The 21,503-nt window shown below is 55.2% G+C and overlaps 1 long non-coding RNA gene across 3 annotated transcripts, besides 4 other annotated features; it reads left to right on the forward strand.

Moving 5' to 3' along the window:
- Positions 3,704-4,256: an enhancer, noted in NCBI's record as "H3K27ac-H3K4me1 hESC enhancer chr11:1369804-1370356 (GRCh37/hg19 assembly coordinates)". NCBI's record gives its function as "activates a minimal SCP1, AML or CMV promoter by ChIP-STARR-seq in naive H9 embryonic stem cells {active_cell/tissue: H9 hESC(naive)}" and the evidence as "EXISTENCE:reporter gene assay evidence [ECO:0000049][PMID:30033119]".
- On the forward strand, positions 5,437-20,328 carry LINC02689 (long intergenic non-protein coding RNA 2689). 3 transcript variants are annotated; one of them, XR_930972.2, is made up of 5 exons: positions 5,437-5,892; positions 15,845-15,938; positions 17,808-17,977; positions 18,084-18,147; positions 18,691-20,328. It is a non-coding gene; the product is annotated as a long intergenic non-protein coding RNA 2689 (long non-coding RNA). The 3 variants fall into 3 exon arrangements; XR_001748092.1 differs by having other exon boundaries at positions 17,808-18,147; positions 18,847-20,328; XR_930969.2 differs by having other exon boundaries at positions 17,808-20,328.
- Positions 8,537-9,284: an enhancer, noted in NCBI's record as "H3K27ac-H3K4me1 hESC enhancer chr11:1374637-1375384 (GRCh37/hg19 assembly coordinates)". NCBI's record gives its function as "activates a minimal SCP1, AML or CMV promoter by ChIP-STARR-seq in primed H9 embryonic stem cells {active_cell/tissue: H9 hESC(primed)}" and the evidence as "EXISTENCE:reporter gene assay evidence [ECO:0000049][PMID:30033119]".
- Positions 14,365-14,866: an enhancer, noted in NCBI's record as "H3K4me1 hESC enhancer chr11:1380465-1380966 (GRCh37/hg19 assembly coordinates)". NCBI's record gives its function as "activates a minimal SCP1, AML or CMV promoter by ChIP-STARR-seq in primed H9 embryonic stem cells {active_cell/tissue: H9 hESC(primed)}" and the evidence as "EXISTENCE:reporter gene assay evidence [ECO:0000049][PMID:30033119]".
- Positions 14,867-15,366: an enhancer, noted in NCBI's record as "H3K4me1 hESC enhancer chr11:1380967-1381466 (GRCh37/hg19 assembly coordinates)". NCBI's record gives its function as "activates a minimal SCP1, AML or CMV promoter by ChIP-STARR-seq in primed H9 embryonic stem cells {active_cell/tissue: H9 hESC(primed)}" and the evidence as "EXISTENCE:reporter gene assay evidence [ECO:0000049][PMID:30033119]".
- Positions 20,329-21,503: the final 1,175 nt, after the last annotated feature.

The following is a 21,503-nucleotide window of genomic DNA, read 5'->3' on the forward strand; positions in this document are numbered from 1 at the left end:
GAGACCATCCTGGCTAACATGGTGAAACCCCGTTTCTACTAAAAATACAAAAATATTAGCTGGGCGTAGTGGCGGGCGCCTGTAGTCCCAGCTACTCAGGAGGCTGAGGCAGGAGAGTGGCGTGAACCCGGGAGGCAGAGCTTGCAGTGAGCCGAGATCCCACCAGTACACTCCAGCCTGGGCGACAGAGCAAGACTCTGTCCCCCCCACAAGAAAAAAGAAAGAAACTGTGTCTGGTGCAGGTGCAGATGCCCCAGGCCTGCAGACAGGAGACCCCAGGACATGGGTGGCTGCAGGTGCAGATGCCCCAGGCCTGCAGACAGGAGACCCCAGGACACGGGTAGCTGCACAAGTCACAGGGGCAAGGCTGGAATTTTGAATAAATGGTGCTGGCTAATAACCCAGTGTCCGTTTGGACAAAGACTTTGTCCCGCCTCTGCCACCCCTGAGACAGCAAGACCAGCCCTTGCTCCTCAGCCCACTCAATGTGAAGCCGACACGGATGAGGGCATTGATGATGATCCACTTCCACTTAGTGAATATATTTTATCTTCCTTATGAGTTTTTAAATAACGTTCTTTTTTCCGGTTTACTTGATTGTAAGAATACAGTAGATAACATATATAACATACAAAATATCTGTTCATCAACTGTTTATGTTATTGGGGAAGGCTTCCGGTCAACAATAAGCTACTAACAGTTAAGTTTTAGGGAATCAGGCTGGGCGCGGTTGCTCATGCCTGTAATCCCAGCACTTTTGGAGGCCAAGGCAGGAGGACCACTTAAGCCCGGGAGTTCAAGACCAGCCAGGGCAATGAAAGGAGACCCCATCTCTACAAAACACAAACATTAGCCGGGTGTGGTGGCGTGCACCTTCGGTCCCAGCTACTTGGGAGACTGAGGAGGAAGTATCCCTTGGGCCCAGGATTTCGAGGCTGCAGTGAGCTGAGATTGCACCATTATACTCCAGCCTGGGTGACACAGCAAGACCCTGTCAAAGAAGTTCTATGTGGGTTTTCTCTGTGCAAGCGTCATTGCCCCTCAGCCTGCATCGTTCAAGGGTTAACCACATCCACCCAACAGATGAATGTGACCATATTGCAGAGGAATGACACAGTCACACTGAAGGAAGTCGAGAAGTAAAGGAACGCCTGAAGTCACCGCGGGGACAGCGTTGACTGGACGCTGAAGGTGAGGCTGAAGACAAGACACGCTGTGCATGGATGCCAGGCTCTGGGTGGTGGGTCTGTCCCTCACGGGGGTGTATCAGCAAGTCTGGAGCCAGTTCACCCGCAGCTGGGACTAGACAAGCAGGTGAAGGTGTGAAAGCCAGGTTTCTTCAGACAAGAGATGCAACAGGTAAAGCGGCGGACGAGAACAGGCCTGCACTGCTGGGGTGGGCATGGAGGGACCCGCGCTGCTGGGGTGGGTGAGGATGGGCGTGTGCCCTGGGGTGGGTGAGGATGGGCGCATGCCCTGGGGTGGGTGAGGATGGGCGTGTGCCACTTGGGTGAGCGAGGATGGGGCACGTGCCGCTGGGGTGGGTGAGGATGGACGTGTGCCCTGGGGTGGGTGAGGACAGGGCCCATGCGTCTGGGGTGGGTGAGGATGGGCGTGTGCCCTGGGGTGGGTGAGGAGGGGCCCGTGTCACTGGGGTGGGCGAGGATGGACGTGTGTCCTGGGGTGGGTGAGGATGGGCGTGTGCCCTGGGGTGGGTGAGGATGGACGTGTGCCCTGGGGTGGGTGAGGATGGACGTGTGCCCTGGGGTGGGTGAGGATGGGGCACGTGCCCTGGGGTGGGTGAGGATGGATGTGTGCCCTGGGGTGGGTGAGGAGGGGGCATGTGCTGGTGAGGAGGGGGCGTGTGCTGTTGGGGTGGGTGAGGACAGGGCCCATGCCCCTGGGGTGGGTGAGGAGGGGCCCATGCCGCTGGGGTGGGCGAGGATGGATGTGTGCCCTGGGGTGGGTGAGGATGGGGTGTGTGCTGCTGGGGTGGGTGAGGACAGGGCCCATGCCCCTGAGGTGGGTGAGGAGGGGCCGGTGCTGCTGGGGTGGGCGAGGATGGACGTGTGCCCTAGGGTGGGTGGCAGCAGCATGAGCTCACACGGTCAATCTACACACATGTAGATTGTTTGTGCATGGGGGTGAGTACACAGGCATGCATCTTCTGGCTCTGTCCACCAAGAGGGCCTAGACACCGGGATACCCCAGTACCAAAGGAAGCACAGGGTGCAGGTCTCGGTCCCCGACGTCACCCTCCAGTGAGAGGACCCCACAGGCCTCGGAGTCTCGGCTGGCACCAAGGCCGGGGCAGGGAAACGTCAGGCTGAGCTTGGAGCACTCACAGTCCCGGAACGTGAGGAAATGCGTGAACGGGAGCAGGGCTTGTGGGGAGGGGACCTGGGAGTCAAGATGAAAGCTCCCACGCGCCGGGTGATAGTTTACTGGATTGTAACCCACAGAATAAAAAGCCGCGAGCCCACAGTGACGCACACGAACAATTCGCTGAGTGAAGAGTCGGTGTACACGGAGCTGCCCTTTCTCCTTCCTGGCCCTGGTGGGAGAATTTTTATCACAAGTGGGTGATGGGTTTTGTCCAGTGCTTTTCCATGTCCGCCGGGATGGAATAAACGTGACGTTTGTCTGTGGCCCTGTCAGTGTACAGCACGTCACGGATCATCTGCATGTGTGCCCAGGACCGGGGCAGTCACCCAGCAGATACGCACGTGGGACCCGGCTTGGCCTCATGGGGTGGCGGCTGTGTCTTGGTTTTCATTTGGTTCAGAAGGTGGGTACGGACCAGGCATGGTGTCTCACGCCTGTCATCCCAGCACTTTGGGAGGCCGAGACAGGTGGATCACTTGAGGTCAGGAGTTTGAGACCAGCCTGGCCAAAACCACCCATCTCTACTAAAAATGCAAACATTAGCTGGGCCTGGTGGCAGGTGCCTGTGATCCCAGCTACTCAGGAGGCTGAGGCAGGAGAATTGCATGAACCCGGGAGGTGGAGGCTGCAGTGAGCCAAGATCGCACCATTGCACTCCAGTCTGGGTGACAGAGGGAGACTCCGTCTCAAAAAAAAAAAATTCCTTCAGGTCCTGCATACCTACGAAACTGTTGACTCAGCTGGTCCAGAGGACCCCACTGACACACGCTGGCCTCACAGCAAAGAAACAGTTTTGAAAGACATCTTTGCTGAGTTTTCCATGCTCAGCTGGCACTCCCTTTCTCTTCGGAGTTCCTGGCCTCCTCAGGAGTCTTGTGGCCTCTCCAGAGGTCTTGCGGCCTCCTCAGGGGCCTGGTCAACCCTCCTTAGTTATAGGAATGGCCTCATTTGAGGAGATTCCCTCCAATAGGAGGGAGACGCTTGCAGAGCAGGATTCATGAACAATCCGTGTAAGTGCGGGGACGATGCCTGGCATGTTACACTCCAGATGCCGGCTGTCAGTAGCGCCGTCACAGTCACTCATGTCTGTGGTTCGCTTCCCACGCCGGGTCTTCAGCCCCATCTACCCACAGGGCCCCAGACTCAACCCCACCATCTCTGTAAATAGAACCACCAGCCACCCACTGCTTAAGCAGAAAGAGTGCCAGGAACGCTTGTGACTTTCCCCCATCCTCACCTCCACTTCCAAACAATGCTGGGGACCAAGCAGGGGTCATGACCCAGATTCTGTGTTTCTGGCTAATGATTAGTTGGGAGTTCCTTTGGAATAAAACCCCAAGTCCTTGCCACAGCTGGCAGGAGCCTGTTCTGCAAACCGCACCCCCTTCTACGTCACCCTCTCTCTGTATCACAGGGCCCCTCTCTGGTCCTCAGACACTGTGGGAGGCTGGAGGGATCAACCCCAGCCCTCTCTTCCCTACCCACCTTCTGAACTAAATGAAAAGCAAGACTCTGCATGAGCACAGGGGGCCAAGCTGGGTCCTACATGTGGATCAGGCTGGGCGGCCGACCCTGGTCGTGGGTGGGCCGACCCGTGTGGGGAGCTTGGGGAGGGCGGCATCCTTCCGCCCGGGAGGGGAGATTAACTCACACACACAAAGCACTAGCTGGTGGCAAAGGACATGCTTTATCATATACGGCAGAGCCATGTGGGCACCGAGAACCCGAGAAAAACCCAGCTCCCCATGAGAAGTGTGTCTGTCCAGCGTCTGGGGGAGGGGCGTGTGGTCCTCAGGAAGGCCATGCAGGGCGCCCACCCGGAGCTCCCCGGGGATGGCCTCTGCGTGCGGCCTCATGACCTTGTGACCTGGGTCTGGCTCTCAGGAGCACCAGGCAGGCAGGGAGGGCATGCCCTGGAGGAGCCCTGCCTGTGGCCGCATTGCCGTTAGAATTTCAATGAGGGGCACTCAGTTTGATGGATGACTCCTGCGGCCCTGGAGGCCTGAGGCCCCACCTGCTCCGTCTGCTCGGGAGACACAACGTCTTGACTCGGCCTCTGTCCCTTTGTCCTCCCTGCCAGGCCTGCCAGCCCTGCGCTGTGACTCTGCCCTGCAGGCCGGGGGGCCGGGTAGACACCCCTCAGGAAGAAAAGCCTCTGCCTGGAGCCGCTAGCCTGTGCTGGGGGGGGCTTGGAGACCCCAGGGTGTGGGCTTCGGGGCTGCAGATGGCCCAGGCGCTGACCCAAATTCAGTGCTCTCGGGGGTGGGTCTGTGTGTCCCTCCACTGGGCCTCTGGACCAGAACCTTCCGGGGACTCCAGCTTCCCTCTGAGACGTCTCGGCCGACCCAGCCCCTCCTATGCGGCGGCCAGCCTGGGGCCCAGTGGGTAGATTTGCTCCTGTACCATCTCAGGGCCGGTGCCCTGCGGAGGGAGAGGCGCTGTCTGTCAAGCCTCACTCTCTCCTGGCGAGGGCTCTGGTTTTCCAGCCACGTCGCTGCATGGAGAGCAACGCACAAAGACAGGGTCTCAGAGGCCACCTGTGCCCACCCTGGTCCTGCCGGATAACTCCTCCCTTCCCTCTTCTCCGGCAGTCAAAGCCCCCGACAGAGGGAACGATGGCCCCGGGGGACACAGCTCCTTTCCCCAGCTGTTCCCAGAGCACAGCTGGCTTCAGCCTGGGTGCAGCCACATCTTACGGGTCCAGCCCGAGTCCGTCCATTTCTGAGGGTCCTGCTGCCCTCCCCTACCTGCCCCCATGCTCCGCAGAGCCCTGCAGAATGAGAGGGTCCTGGACCTGGCTCCTCTGCCTGGGAGAATCTGACGGCTCCGGGTGCAGTCGTAGCCCCAGGAGAGGCCCTGGCGCCCTGACCCCCGGCAGGCAGCGAGGCTGATGTGGGAGGGCGAGGCCGCCCCGCCCTGGCTCTGACAACCCTCCCTGCACTGCTGCCCAACCCTCTCCCCATGCCTCCTCCACCTCCCCCAGGGTTGGCCTGGGAGCCTCCTCCGCTTCCCCCAAGGTTGGCGCCCGGGAGCCGTGCTCTGGGACCACACTCCTCTTTGGCTCTGGGAATTTCTCCTCCCACGTGGAGGCCCCCACAGCAGTGGACACCACCCAGCCAGGCCCACCTGACCGGTCAGGCTCAAACCCTCTGGTACCCGCCCCACCCATAGGACCAGGTGTAAACCAGGCAGCGACACCCCAGACGTGTGGTCTTGGTCAGCTCCCCTGGGCTCCTCTCCCTCCAGCTGGCCCTTCTCTGCCCAGGAAACAGTTTTCTGAAGAGTTCTCCGTTCTCGAGCCTTCCAGCTGCGTGGGAGAGAGTTGACCCCAAGGCTGGGACCACAAGAGGCCAGGGAGGGTGGGCCTGGGATCTGCAGCTCACGGGCTGTGTGACTGTGGGCACGAGATTTCATTTCCTGATTCATAAAGGTGGGGACCGATCAAAGCTACTCCTTGGACCTTTGTGAAGATTAAATGAGTTCAACACGGAGCATTCTTGACCCATGGTGAGTGTCGTAAAACGCTGGCCACTGTAATTTTTCATTTTCCCTTCGGCATTATGACAATATATCCCCAATGGCATAGGATTTTAAGTGAATGTACCGTAATCTGCCCAACCATTCTTTTACTGTGGACACTTGAGTGATTTCCAATCATGTTTACTCTCATTTGTTTTCTTTTTCTTTTTTTTTTTTTTTTGAGATAGTCATGCTCTGTTGCCCAGGCTGGAGTGCAGTAGTGTGATCTCAGCTCACTGCAACCTCTGCCTCCCGGGTTCAAGTGATTCTCCTGCCTCAACCTCCCAAGTAGCTGGGACTACAGGAACACACCAATGCACACAGCTACTTTTTTTTTAACTTTTAGTGGATACGGGGTTTCACCATGTTGTCCAGGCTGGTCTCAAACTCCCAACCTCAGGCGATCCGCCTGCCTCGGCCTCCCAAAGTGCTGGGATTACAGGTGTGAGCCACTGCACCCAGGCTAGTAATATTGACTCTTAGGCTAGTAATATTGACTCTTAGAGCTAACACTCTAACATGGAAAGGAGAAAACAATTGTTTCTCCTTAGGGATTGTTTCCTTAAAATTTGGCCCAGAAACTATAATCCTGAGTCAAATGGTGTCGATGTTCTCATTATCCTGGAAGAATCACGCTGACCTTGGCTTTAAAAGGTTGAATCACCTCGGACTTGCGAACGGCAACGGGTCTCTCACAGAAGCTCGGCCGCACTGGAATATGCAGATGTGTTTGTTTTCATTAGTATTTCTGTGTTTTACCATTTTTCTGAGCTTACTAATTATGTGTTTTACCGATTTTTCTGAGCGTACTAATTATGTTCTATTTAAATGTTCTCTGTGTACTGATCTGTTGCAAATGTAATTTGTAATTACCGGGATCACCCTCAGTGTGATGTGAGGTCTGATCTCCAACCTCTATGCCTCACTGCCTTTGAGAAATGACCTGTTGTTCCTGACACTCTTGCGAGGTGGGTGGATTAAACCCTCTGCCTCTGCTAGCTTTTCTCCCAGGTCTCACACCTGGACCCCCCACCCCCACCAACTCCCCTCCCAGGCCTCCCACCCAGACCCCCACTCCCCTCCTAGGCCTCCCACCTAGACCCCTGCCCCCACCAATTCCCCTTCCAGGCCTCACACCTGGACCCCCACCCCCACTGACTCCCCTCCCAGGCCCCATGCCTGGACCCCCACCAACTCCCCTCCCAGGCCTCATACCTGGACCCCCCACCCCCACCAACTCCCCTCCCAGGCCTCACACCCGGACCCCCACCCACTCCCCTTCTAGGCCTCCCACCTAGACCCCTGCCCCCACCAATTCCCCTTCCAGGCCTCACACCTGGAACCCCACACCCACCAACTCCCCTCCCAGGCCTTACACCTGGACCCCCACCCCCACTGACTCCCCTCCCAGGCCCCATGCCTGGACCCCCACCCCCACCAACTCCCCTCCCAGGCCTCACACCTGGACCCCCCACCCCCACCAACTTCCATCCCAGGCCTCACACCTGGACCCCCACCCCCACCAACTCCCCTCCCAGGCCTCATACCTGGACCCCCCACCCCCACCAACTCCCCTCCCAGGCCTCATACCTGGACCCCCCACCCCCACCAACTCCCCTCCCAGGCCTCACACCTGGACCCCCCACCCCCACCAACTCCCCTCCCAGGCCTCACACCCGGACCCCCACCCACTCCCCTTCTAGGCCTCCCACCTAGACCCCTGCCCCCACCAATTCCCCTTCCAGGCCTCACACCTGGAACCCCACACCCACCAACTCCCCTCCCAGGCCTTACACCTGGACCCCCACCCCCACTGACTCCCCTCCCAGGCCCCATGCCTGGACCCCCACCCCCACCAACTCCCCTCCCAGGCCTCACACCTGGACCCCCCACCCCCACCAACTTCCATCCCAGGCCTCACACCTGGACCCCCACCCCCACCAACTCCCCTCCCAGGCCTCACACCTCGACCCCCCACCCCCCACCCCTCATCCCCACTGACTCCCTTCCCAGGCCTCACACCTGGACCCCCCACCCCCCACCCCCACCAACTTCCATCCCAGGCCTCACACCTGGACCCCCACCCCCACCCCTCATCCCCACCGACTCCCCTCCCAGGCCTCACACCTGGACCCCCACCCCCAATGACTCCCCTCCCAGGCCTCACACCTGGACCCCCACCCTCACCCCTCATCCCCACTGACTCCCCTCCCAGGCCTCACACCTGGACCCCCACCCTCACCCTCATCCCCACCGACTCCCCTCCCAGGCCTCACACCTGGACCCCCATCCCCTACCCCTCATCCCCGCCGACTCCCCTCCCAGGCCTACACCAGGTCCCCCACCCCCTCTTGCCTGTCACAGTGCCTCCTGGAACATGGAACCCCTCTAGCAACTCCCTAATTTTCTTCTATTCATAGCAAATTGTCTCAAAAAATGTGTCTACACCCACCATCCAAGACCCTGCATCCAAGACGCCCCATCCAAGACCACCCCCTCCTCTAGTCACTATATGACCACCTCTCTGCATCTCATTTCCTCAGCCACCCCTGCTGGTCCTGGGTCTGGACTCAGCATGGCCGTGGCTGCACGTGGCTCTTCTCCCCCTTTCCCAGGGCTCTTTCCAGCCCACGGAGCAGAGTGCCACCTCCCTGCCTACCTCAGCCCCAGTTCCCTCAAAGGGCAAACGTTCCACCTGCCGACCCATTTTCCTGCTTTGGGCCGGCCAGGGCCAGGCCTGGTCTTCCCAGCCCTACTGCGGTGCCCGACCCACAGGACAGCCTGGGGGGCATCAAGCCCAATGCCTCTGAGAGCCTGTGAGTGAGTGGCCTCCATGGTGCTGGGGCCGCTCCAGCCGCCTTGCTTGGCCCCCGGGCCTCCCTTCAGGATCTAGATCACACCCAGACACCCGTCCCTGCCTCTGCCCCAGCACCTCCGCCTGGAATGTGAATCCGCAGCTACCTGTGGAGCCGGCGCCTTCTCTCCGTCCTTCTCACACTGAGGGGCACCCCCAGAGAGGTCACCATGGCCCGAACGTCTATCCCCAGAAATTCTTCTGTTGAAACCTTCACTGCCAAGGTGATGCTATTGGGAGGAGGGGCCTTTGGGCGGGTCTGGCCGTGAGGGTCGGCCTCGTAAATGGATTAGTGCCCAGACAAAAGGGACCTCAGAGAGCCCCTCACCGCTTCATTACGTTCGGATGTGGCCAGGAGGCGCTGGCTGTGAACCACAGTCTGCCGGGGCCTGTTAGACTCACAGTCTCCAGAGCTGTGAGCTAAATGTCGGTTGCTTGAAGCCGCCGACGGGGGTGTTTTGCTGTGGCGGCCGGAGTGGCAGAGACTGGGGAGATCCTGGCCACAAAAGCGGCAGGGCCTGCCCCTCCAGTTCCTGTCTAAGCCATCACCATAGGTGCATCCTTCACCACCTGCCTGCTGCCCTGCTGGGCCGTTCTCTGCCTTCCAGACGTGAACGTGAGTGCGAGGGTGGGCACAGCCTGCACGTGCCCGGCCCTGCTCCACACGAGCTTCCGGGTGTGCCGGTGAGCCGGATGCCTGCTGGGTTCCCACAGCAGCCTCTCTGTTCTTCTCCCTGATTGTAGAGACGTGACCCTTGCCTGCTGGCTCCAGCTCAGGGAGGTGTGCTGTGTGTCCTTCGCGACGTGCGCTAGGGGCCGGCCCCTGCCAGCTGGGAGGCCAGTGCTGTGTGTCCTTCGCGACGTGCACTGGGGACCGGCCACTGCCAGCTGGGAGGCCAGTGCTGTGTGTCCTTCATGGTGTGCACTGGGGGCCAGTGCTGTGTGTCCTTCATGGTGTGCGCTGGGGGCTGGTGCTGTGTGTCCTTCACGATGTGTGCTGGGGGCCGGCCCCTGCCAGCTGGGAGGCCGGTGCTATGTGTCTGCTCTGTCAGCCCCCTCAGGTGGGTGGTTTGGGCGTCGGCCATGGTGGGAATGTTTACACCACGGAAATTGGCCAGTGCCTCCAGCCAGGGTTTTGTTTCCCTCGTGAGTTGCTCGTTGCTAAATCAGTGCAGCACGGATTGGCCTTCCTCTTCCTCTGTTCTGTTTTGTTATGGGATGTCTCTAACATACGGAAAACCATAGAGAATGATATGATAAGCACCTTCAGCCCTTCCCAGCTCTAAGACTCCCTGACATTTGGCTGTGTCTGTGCCATGATTTTAAGTGGATTCAACCCGTCCAATCCACCCAAAGCCCCTGGTGCCCTGTGGTGCCATTGCTCTCCCTCCTGGGGCAGATTCCACATCTGGAGTGTCGTGCCGGGGCACGTTTGTAGACCTCACAGCACACATGTGACCCTCAACACTATACAGGTGGTTTCTTTTTTTTTTTTTTTTTTTTGAGACAGAGTCTTGCTCTGTCACCCAGGCTGGAGTGCAGTGGCACGATCTCGGCTCACTGCCGGCTCTGCCTCCCGGGTTCACGCCATTCTCTTGCCTCAGCCTCCCAAGTAGCTGGGACTACAGGCGCCCGCCACCACGCCTGGCTAATTTTTTTGTGTTTTTAGTAGAAACGGGGTTTCACTGTGTTAACCAGGATGGTCTCGATCTCCTGACCTCGTGATCCGCCCGCCTTGGCCTCCCAAAGTGCTGGGATTACAGGCATTAGCCACCGAGCCCAGCCTACAGCGTGGTTTTACGTGGGGGTTTTTTGGTTTGTTTTGAGACAGGGTCTTGCTCCATCACCCGGGCTGGAGTGCAGAGGCATGATCATGGATCACTGCAGCCTTAACCTCCCAGGCTCAAACCATCCTCCCACCTCAGCCTCCTGAGTAGCTGGGACCACAGGCTTGTGCCATCATGCCCAGCTCATTTTTTATTTTATTTTATTTTTATTTTTATTTTTTTTTTGAGACGGAGTCTCGCTCTGTCGCCCAGGCTGGAGTGCAGTGGCGGGATCTCGGCTCACTGCAAGCTCCGCCTCCCGGGTTCACGCCATTCTCCTGCCTCAGCCTCCCAAGTAGCTGGGACTACAGGCGCCCGCCACTACGCCTGGCTAATTTTTTTTGTATTTTTAGTAGAGACGGGGTTTCACCGTTTTAGCCGGGATGGTCACGATCTCCTGACCTCGTGATCTGCCCGCCTCGGCCTCCCAAAGTGCTGGGATTACAGGTGTGAACCACCACAAACAGCCCCTCTTTTCCTTGCCTGGGTTAGGGACCCACTGAGAATAGGACAGGAGAAAAGGCAGATGTGATTTTTTCAGAATACCAACTTTCTACCCGGCCCCAGCACTGGCTGTCCACCCACGCTGCCCTGCCACCCACCCATGCTGCCCTGCCGTCCACCCATGCTCCCCTGCCGTCCACCTACGCTGCCCTGCCGTCACCACGGCACTCGGAGCTTCTGGAGCTTAGACTACTTTATCTTTGTGGCCCTTTTCTGCCTTCTTATCAACTCCCTTTCCCTGCCTCTGCAAACAATGCCGGTGAAATTTAGATAGGAGTTGCATTGTACACAGATATTACAGAGGGAAGGAATAACATTGTTACAACATTGACTCCCACACACAAACCTCTCTCTCTCTTGCTCTCTCTCTCTCGCTCTCTCTCTGTCTCTCTCGCTCTCTCACTCTGTCTCTCTCGCTCTCTCTCTTGCTCTCTCTCTGTCTGTCTCTTGCTCTCTCTCGCTCTGTCTCTCTCGCTCTCTCTCTGTCTCTCTCTCTCTCACTCTCGCTCTCTCTCTTGCTCTCTCTGTCGCTCTCTCTCACTGTCTGTGTCTCTCACTCTCTCTCGCTCTCTCATGCTCTCTGTCACTCTCTCTCGCTCTCTCTGTCTCTCTTGCTGTCTGTCTCTGTCTCTCTCGCTCTCTCTGTGTCCCTCTCGCTCTCTCATGCTCTCTCTCTGTCGCTCTCTCTCACTCTCTGTCTCTGTCGCTCTCTCTGTTTCTCTTGCTCTCTCTCTCTCTGTCTCTCTCGCTCTCTCTCTGTGTTTCTCACTCTCTCATGCTCTCTCTCTGTTGCTCTCTCTCACTCTCTCTGTGGCTCTCTCTCTCTCTGTCTCTCTCGCTCTCTCTCTTGCTCTCTCTGTCGCTCTCTCTCGCTCTCTCTGTGTCTCTCTCTCTCGCTCTCTCATGCTCTCTGTGGCTCTCTCTCTGTCTCTCTCTCTCTCTGTTTCTCTTGCTCTCTCTCTCTCTCTGTCTCTCTCGCTCTCTCTCTGTGTCTCTCCCTCTCTCTCGCTCTCTCATGCTGTCTCTCTCTTGCTCTCTCTCACTCTGTCTCTCTCTCTCTGGTCTTCTTTGAAGTCTTTCATTAAACTTTAATAATTTTCTGCTCACAGATCTTATATGTATTTTGTTAGGTTTATTCCTAAGTATTTTTTATTTTGGGGTTTGAATTTTCACATTTGTGTTTGATGCCCATATAGAAAACTGCAAATGACTTTCGAATGTTGATTTCTAGATTGGAGCATCTTGTTAAACTATTTTAATTCTCATAATTTGTGGATTGCAGTATTTTTTGTAAGTAATCATTTCCTCAATACATAGTTTAGTTTCTTTGTTTCCAATTTTTAATATCCATTGTTTCTTTTTAAAATTTATTTTATTTATTTATTAATTTATTTATTTTGAGATGGAGTCTCTCTCTGTCACCCAGGCTGGAGTGCAGTGGCGCGATCTCGGCTCACTGCAAGCTCTGCCTCCCGGGCTCATGCCCTTCTCCTGCCTCAGCCTCCCGAGTAGCTGGGACTACAGGCGCCCGCCACCACGCCCGGCTAATTTTTTTGTATTTTTAGTAGAGACGGGGTTTCACCATGTTAGCCAGGATGGTCTTGATCTCCTGATCTCATGATCCACCCGCCTCGGCCTCCCAAAGTGCTGGGATTACAGGCATGAGTCACCGCGCCCGGCCCGTTGTTGCTTTTTCTTGTCTGGTGGTGAGTGGGTCCTCAAGTTCTTTGTGGGTTAGAGGCAGTGAGGGTGAGTTGTCTCATTCCTGATTTTATTTAAAAATGTGTAATTGTGATGGTTGCTGTGCTTTGTTTTTTTTTGTTTTTTTTTGGTTTTTTTTGCGTATTCCTTTTATAAAGTTAAAAAAATTATTTTATTCCTAGTTTGGTAAGAGTTTTATCTTAAAATACTGTTGAATTTTATCAAGTATTTATCTTGCCTCTATTGAAATTGACATGTGGTTTTTCTTTTTGCACTGTTTTTGTGGCAAATCACAAGGCTGGGCCATGGAGTGACTATCTCCTGGGAGACTCGGGCGGGTGAGCTGGTCATGCCTGAGCTCCACCCAACCTTCTGCACTCCTCAGTCTTCCGATTCCTTCTCCACTTCCCCGAGGAACTCAACTGTTGGATTGTAGGGAGCACAGAGGTTGAGAGGCTTTCGGGAGACCTGGGAAGGTGGGCTCTGGACAGGAGAGGCAGGGGAGTTGCTGCCTGGCCCCTGCTTTGTGCAGCACCAGGCACAGGCTCAGAAGATGCTGCCGCCACACTCAGGGCTCCTGGATGATGCCACGGGCAGAGGCTGACCCAGAACCATTCAGGAAAGACATCCCAAGTGGTGTAGTCCAAGCTTCTCCTGCGCTGTGGGAGGAAAGCACATGAGGGTGGGGGTGTGCAGGGCTGTGACCAGCAAACAGGCCAGCACGGCCTGCTTCTGGTCACTGGCCAGGCCTGCCCTGCTGCAGAGTGAAGACTTCCTGTAAGGCCACCCGGCTGCTCCCTCCCGGCGACGGCTCTGCAGTGAGGCCCACGCCACCCGGCTGCTCCCTCCTGGCTATGGCTCTCCAGTGAGGCCCACGCCACCCGGCTGCTGCCCCCCAGCGACGGCTCTCCAGTGAGGCCCACCTGCCATCCCCCCGCACGGGTAAACAGAGGCCTGTGAGTCGGTGTGGCAACCTCCAGTCCAGGCGAGCTGCTTTTCTAGGTCAACACTGGTCCTCTCTTGCCATCCTGTAAATCAGATACCAAGTTTAAAAGCTGACCACAGAAAACCAAACATTGTGTGTTCTCACTGATATGTGGGAGCTAAGCTGTGAGGACGCGAAGGCATAAGAATGATACAGTGGACTTTGGGGACTTGGAGGGGAAGAATGGGAGGGGGCGAGGGATAAAAGACAACAAATAGGGTGCAGTGTATACTGCTCAGGTAATGAGTGCACGAGGATCTCGCAGATCAGAGCTCAAGAACTCACTCCTGGAACCAAATACCACGTGTACCCCAATAACTTATGGAAAAATAAAATAAATAAATAAGTAAATAAATAAATGCTGACCACACCCCATGTAAAACAGCAGGGAAGGGCTCAAGGAGGGGAAGTGGTGGGAGGAGAAAACGTGCGTGGCTGCCCCAGCCCCGCCGCCGCCTCTGCACGGCACGGTGTCCTGTCCGTGGCTCCATAGCCATTGTGTTCTCAAAGGGACTGAGCCGTTATTCGTCCTTTTCTTTGGGGTTGTTCCAAAATGCCATCCATGGTCGGGCGCAGTGGCTCATGCCTGTAATCCCAGCATTTTGGGAGGCCGAGGCGGACGGATCACCTGAGGTCAGGAGTTTGAGACCATCCTGGCCAACATGGTGAAACCCCGTCTCTACTAAAAATACAAAAATTAGCCAGGCGTGGTGGCGGGCGCCTGTAATCCCAGCTACTCAGGAGGCTGAGGCAGGAGAATCACCTGAATCCAGGAGGCAGAGGTTGCAGTGAGCTGAGATCACACCACTGCACTCCAGCCTGGACGACAGAGCGAGACTCTGTCTCAAAAAAAAAAAAATAGCAAAACATAAAAACAACAAAATGTCATTCATGAACTTTGGCTTCCAGGTGGTCTTGGGGAGACTCCAGGCTCAGCCTCCTCCCGCTGCTCCCTTGAAGGAGCCGTCCTGACTGTCCTTGGCCGCCTGAGCCCGCTGCCCCAGCAGGAGGTCTACTGCTCTGGTGGCAAGAGGACTCCTGGGCCTGTGGCTGTCCAGGCGTCCCCTTCAGGGGAAGCGTGTGTGTGACGTGAATACTCCGCACCACCTCAGCACCTGCAAAACCCAGACGTGCTGACGCGGGGAGCATGGGCTTAGCCGGTGCGTCACTAGGGCCATGGTGCAGGGAACCACCCTGGGCCTACGTGTCCCGGCTCTGGGAGAACATCACACATGGACCTGGCCCACCTTGTGGGACCACACCCTCCAGAGGCCTCGTCCTGTAGACAGCTGTCACACATTGTCACACAAGTGAGCCTTCAACAGCCCATGATGGGGGTGACGTGGCCCAGGTACAGCAAGGGAACGCATGGGCCTGAGCCCTTTCTCTCCCTTTCCTCTGTGGAATGGGGCCCTGGGTCGCAGCTAATGCTTTGTGGAGGACCATGACAGCTGCTCAGACTCTGCATGTGGTGTCGGCAGAAGTGCCATGACCAGGGACAGAAACTCATGTCCAGAGGAAGCGTCTATTCCAACCGGGACACATCGTTGCACCCTCCCTGATGGAGGGGTCCAGTGAAACCAACCTCCCCCCGTGACCGGCTCATCCCGTGGGGAACAGTGCAGTTTCAGGCCCACAGCTCTGGCTCTCTGCTGTTGGTTGTTGGGCTTTTGGCCGTGGTGGGGGGCCCATGTCTGAGGCTGGGCGCAGCTTCCATGCTCACTGCTGTGGGCACTGCCCAGGAGCCATCAAGCATGCCTGGGGTGGCTGGTGACATCCCCAAAACAAGCCGTGTGTTCAGCTGGCTGTGATGAGCCTCCTCCGTGGACACGCAAATATCCCCACGTCCTGTGCCCCTCTGGAAAGGTTCGTCCACAAGTCTCTCCCCAGCCTCCTTGTCATCAACCTTTCAAACAGATGGCTTCCAAGTCCCGGACCATCCGGCAAACCGTTAGCCACATCCCCTGAAGAGGTCTGGTCCTGTCCTCTTGTCCAGGCACAGGACACAGCCAGTGAGGCCGCCCCAAGCGCTGCTCGCTAGGACGACGCCCCTGTCCTGCCTCCCTACAGGGCCATCCCCAGATGAGGCTGCAGCATTGCCCCGTGTGCTCTCAGCTGGTGCCAGTGTTGTCTGGAACTGTCTGGACCTACCTGGAAACTGAGTGTGAGTGTTTGATTCCTCACTCCCCTGGTGGCTGGGAATTGCCCTGGAAGGCACTGGTGCTTGTGGAGGGAGAAATGGCAATGTCTGGGTGTGGGTGCTGTGGGCCTGGGTGCTGTGGACGTGGGTGCTGTGCACGTGGGTGCTGTGGGCCTGGGTGCCGTGGGCCTGGGTGCCGTGGACGTGGGTGCATGGCACAGATGGGCGGCCACCTGAACGAGTGGGAGGAGTGCAGTCCCAGGCCCTCCCAGAGACTGTGCCATAGTCTCCACCCCAAGTGACGGTGGAGGGATGCTGGGAACGGTAAGCTTTAATGCTTGGTGAATCTTGCATTGCCTCATTCATGACCGGTAGGTCACGTGGTCATCTGACACTTCCATCTCTTCCGAGGCCCAGTGGAAAGCCAGGAGCTGGGTCTCCAAAGGAAAATGGTTACTTTCAGAAGAGGGCATGATTTTTCTCCAAAACGCTGGGTGGCTGAGCTGGGATTCTTCTGAAGGGTTTGTCGGAAGCTCCACACGGCATCCCTGTCTGACACGGACCTGTTGTCACCGTCTGATTTGCTGAGACACGCGTGCAGAGGTGCCTGATGGCAGCCTGGACCTGCTACAGAGCCTTCTGCTGCTGTAGGCCCCTTCAAAACTGACAGCCTCGGAGGCTTCCATATGGTCGAAGCAGCCTGCTTCAATATGGTGCATGAGCTCTCTGGGGTCTAAAAAGGCCTACCAAGCAGCATTGTGCCACCTTCTTAGTGCAAAGAACAGGAAGTTGGGTCAAGTATCTTATTATTATTATTATTAATCATTATTGTTGAGACAAGGTCTCACTCTGTTGCCCAGGCTGGAGTGTGGTGGTGCCATCACAGCTCACTGCAGCCTTGAACTCCTGGGCTCAAGCGATCCTCCTGCCATGGCCTCCCAGAGTGCTGGGATGACAGGTGTGAGCCCATGCCTGGCTGGGGGCACATATCTTCATATATCCCAGACCACAGGATGTCTAGAAATTTCACTGAAATGACAGAATCCTTCATTTTGTGAGGTGCGTCTCCTACTATGGAGGCACGAAAGGGCCTTACTAAGACAGTTAGAGTATTTACTACTTCCTGCCACCAGGTCTGATCTCCATTACACCATCGGCATAGTGAACTGGCACTTTGTCCCATGGGATGGCCAGGACTGAGATGGTCAAGGGCCCTGAGGTCTATATTTTGACAAAGGGATGGACGATGGGCACAGTTCTGAGAAGCACGAGCCGGGGTGTATTGCTGTCCCTGCCAGGTGAAAGTAGCCTTCCCCTGTGGCTCAGCTGTTGTGTGTGGAAGGAAACGTTGGTCAGATGAGTTTCCTCATGGAAGCCATGGCTGGGTGTTCCATCACACGAGGTACATCTGGAGGGGCAGATGCAATTGGAGTCCCCACCCGATTGTGTTTGCAGCCATCCACAGTCACTCTCCAAAATCCACCTCTGTCCTTCACAGGCCAAAGAGGTGAAGCAAAACGATGTGATAGGAAGCTGAGATATCGGCTGGGCACAGTGGCTCACACCTGTAATCCCAGCACTTTGGGAGGCTGAGGCGGGTGGATCACCTGAGGTTGGGAGTTTGAGACCAGCCTGGTCAACATGGTGAAACCCTGTCTCTACTAAAAATACAAAATTAGCCGGGCATGGTGGCGCACGCCTGCAGTCACAGCTACTCGGGAGGCTGAGACAGGAGAATTGTTTGAACCTGGGGGACAGAGGCTGCGATGAGCCAAGATCACACCACTGCACTCCAGCCTGGGCGACAGAGCAAGACTCTGTCTCAAACAAACAAACAAAAAAAGAGGAATCCAGGATACCGTTGCCAGTATGCACTGTAAATCTTTCTCCTAGATTTCTCTGAAGAAGTCTGCAGCCCTTTGGCAGCGTGGCTGCAGATGGAAGGAAGGAAACAGTTCGCCCTGGAGAATGGCTAGGCAGCACCTCTGAGCCGAGCATCCCACCCGCTCTGACTGGCCCACAATCGTGGGGCCAGTGGTATCTCAGAGCCCTTCTGTAAGGAGGTCTGGTCCCCCGGCATTCAGGGGTTCTGAGCTGCTCAGTTCTGGGATATGGGGAAAAGCCAGGATTCTCCACCATGCTGGCTGACGCCATTTCTCTGTTCACCAGACCTACAGGGTTTTGTCACTTACAGTGATTGCCATGGTCTGAATGCTTGTGTCCTCCTCGAAAGGTAGGTATTGAAACCTAATCACCAAGGTGATGGTGTTGGGAGGTGGGACCTTCAAGAGGTGGCAAGGTCATGGGGGCAGAGCCCTCATAAATGGATTGGTGCCCTTATGAAAGGGGCCCATGGGAGCCTTGTTTGCCCCATGTACGGGTGCAGCCGGAAGTTGCTGTCTGAGAGGAAACTGGCCTCCACCAAACACAGCTGGCACCTTGGTCTTGCACTTCCAGCCTCCAGAACTGTGAGACATGTTTCTGTCATTTATAAGCCACCCAGATCTTTAATGATATTTTTGTTATGGTAGCCCAAACAGACTAAGACAGAGACCAGAGAACACTTTGGCAGGCTACTTACGTGTTTTAGTCCTGGGGACACTTCAATCAGTTAGACATTCCCCAAAGTCCTACAGGGTGAAGGACACAGTTGCTGCCCTGGCCCTGTCACCCATTGAGACCAGGACACCCCATTGTGCTGGAGCTGCTACCTGGTTGCCAACACTCAGGCAGCCTGTTCAATGAGAGCAACTTGCACCACTATCTTGGTCCACAGAGCCTTCCAAGATGCGGTGCCCTCCATCAGCATATTGCCACGCCTTTCTCTCCCAGGATGCATTGCTGGGATGGATGAACAGGGCCATGCGATAAATCCTCTAACGTTGCCACGTCTGTGCTTTTGCCTCCTTTCCTCTCCGTTGTATGGAGGAAGTTCTGACAGCTCACTTCATTTCACGTGGTGTGCAAGCTTCTGTCAAACAACGGAACAAACTATGAGAACCACTTCCAGCCACTGCTTCTGCACACTTCTCTGCTAAGTGAGTCTCTGCTGTGTGAGTCTCATTGGTAAAACTACCCTGATCTAACATTCTGTTACCTCCTTTGTGGTCCAACACTCCAAGAGTCCACGGCCTCAGACGCCCCTGGGTTTCTGCTGATGTAAATTGGCAAAAACTTGCATTCAGTGTGTATGTGGCTCCTCTTGGGTCTCACTGTGTGTTTATCCCTCTGCACCCAACTCTAGTCATGGCTCTGGGAATAATGAGGGTCGGTGGAGGTGGATCTCAAGGGAGATCTGTCATCTTGCAAGGCTGTTTCCTCAAGTGAAGCCATCACAGATCTTTGGGCACAGTTTTACTCACCTCAGACTCTAAGGAAGAGTCACTTCTGCTTACAGGGAGACTCAGGAAGGTCTAATGTTCAGGGGACTCAGAGTCAGAGAAATCCACCCTCTCCAGTTCTCGAGGTCTCATTCTTTCCAAATAAATGCCTTAACTTTGACTTAAGAGATTTAGTAAGACATTTAATTATTCTTTAGTTGTAATTCATTAGCCTGCAAGATCAAATTTGTACTCTGCATTTAAAAAAAAAAGTTGACTCTACAGCTACAAGAACTAAAATGGTTTTTTTAGGACAGCTATAGAAGGGCTCTGGTTCTCTGTCTATACCTTCAGCTGAGCACTTAAGGCCACAGCTTGTCATTTTCTTTGTCAGTTCCCCAGTGCAATAAGCAGCAGCCACCCCATGCCACATCCTTGTATGCATGGTTTCCATCCACATCCTAATGTCCTATTGCAAGAGCCCCCTGGTGTCTGAAACCCAGGCTTGTGATGGGCACTGCATCGCAGAGACCTCAAGGTAATGATTTTACCAGTGACAATGTTTATAGATTATCTGCATCCTGCTTCCCACTCCTCACGTGGTCCTCACTGACATCAGACAAAACCTGGTCTGTCCAATTACTAACTCCAGATTCCCATCTTCAAGGTTCTGCCTTCCTGGAAACACTGCTGGTACCAGGAATGGTTGGTCGGGAACACTAAAGTCACTCTAGGTATTTTGGGTAGAAGGAGATTCATTGCAGGGAACTCTAGGCTTACAGAAATGTTGAGAACTTTGGGGACTGAAGGTTATTTCAGGAGATCTGGAAGTGCAGGGATAGAAGGGTAGCATCCATTGCCCCCTGATAACTGTACCACTGACATGGCTAGAAACCACCCCAGTGATCCCAGCTGCTTGTAGCACCTCAGGGTGATTCTCAAACTGACTCCAGAAGCCAAGGTACACTGCTGCCAATGACTGCAGGGGCCTCTGCAAAACGGACGTTGATGAATGAAACAAAGTGTGATCTACCCATAGCAGGGAATGTTATTCATCCTTAAAAAGGAAGGAAATCCTGCAGCTCACGCCTGTCATCCCAGCTCTTTGGGAAGCTGAGGCAGGAGAATGGCTTGAGGCCAGGAGTTTGAGACCAGCCTGGGCAACATAATGAGACCCCCGTCTCTACAAAAAACAATTTAAAAAATTTGCTGTAGTCCCCGCTACCCAGGAGACTGAAGCAGGAGGATAGCTTGAGCCCAGGAAGTTGAGGCTGCAGTGAGCTATGATCTCTCCTGTCTCTAAAAAAGAAAAAAAATAAAAGGAAAGAAATTAATTCTCACACAGGCTACAAAATGGATGAACCTTGAGGACATTATGCTGAATCAAAGAAGCCATTCAGCAAAGGATAAATCCTATAAGCTTCCCCGTATATGAGGAACCCAGAGCAGTGAAATCCCCAGTGACAGGAAGTGGATGGTGGGCACCAGGGGCTGGCAGAGAGGATGGGAGTCAGTCTTCCATGGGGACAGGGACAGCTTCAGTTTGGGAAGCTGAAGAAGTTCTGGAGATGATGATGGTGGTGACAAGTGCACACCAACGTGAATGTATCAGGGACAGCTTCAGTTTGGGAACTTGAAGAAGTTCTGGAGATGACGATGGTGGTGACAGGTGCATACCAACGTGAATGTATCAGGGACAGCTTCGGTTTGGGAAGCTGAAGAAGTTCTGGAGATGATGATGGTGGTGACAGGTGCACACCAATGTGAATGTATCAGGGACAGCTTCGGTTTGGGAAGCTGAAGAAGTTCTGGAGATGATGATGGTGGTGACAGGTGCACACCAACGTGACTGTATCAGGGACAGCTTCAGTTTGGGAAGTTGAAGAAGTTCTGGAGATAATGATGGTGGTGACAGGTGCACACCAACATGAATGTATCAGGGACAGCTTTGGTTTGGGAAGCTGAAGAAGTTCTGGAGATGATGATGGTGGTGACAGGTGCACACCAACGTGAATGTATCAGGGACAGCTTCGGTTTGGGAAGCTGAAGAAGTTCTGGAGATGATGATGGTGGTGACAGGTGCACAGCAATGTGAATGTATCTAATGGCACTAAACTGTGCACTTTAAAACTGCATGCATTTACAATGGTAAATTTTATGTTATGCGCATTCCACTGTAGTGAAAAAGAGTTAACTTCACCTGAAATGAATTCGTGTGGTAACCATTGGTTCTGTGTTAATAGCATGGACTTCCATTGTATCTGCATAA

This window comes from Homo sapiens, chromosome 11, assembly GCF_000001405.40.
Source record: "Homo sapiens chromosome 11, GRCh38.p14 Primary Assembly".
Lineage (NCBI taxonomy): Eukaryota > Metazoa > Chordata > Mammalia > Primates > Hominidae > Homo > Homo sapiens.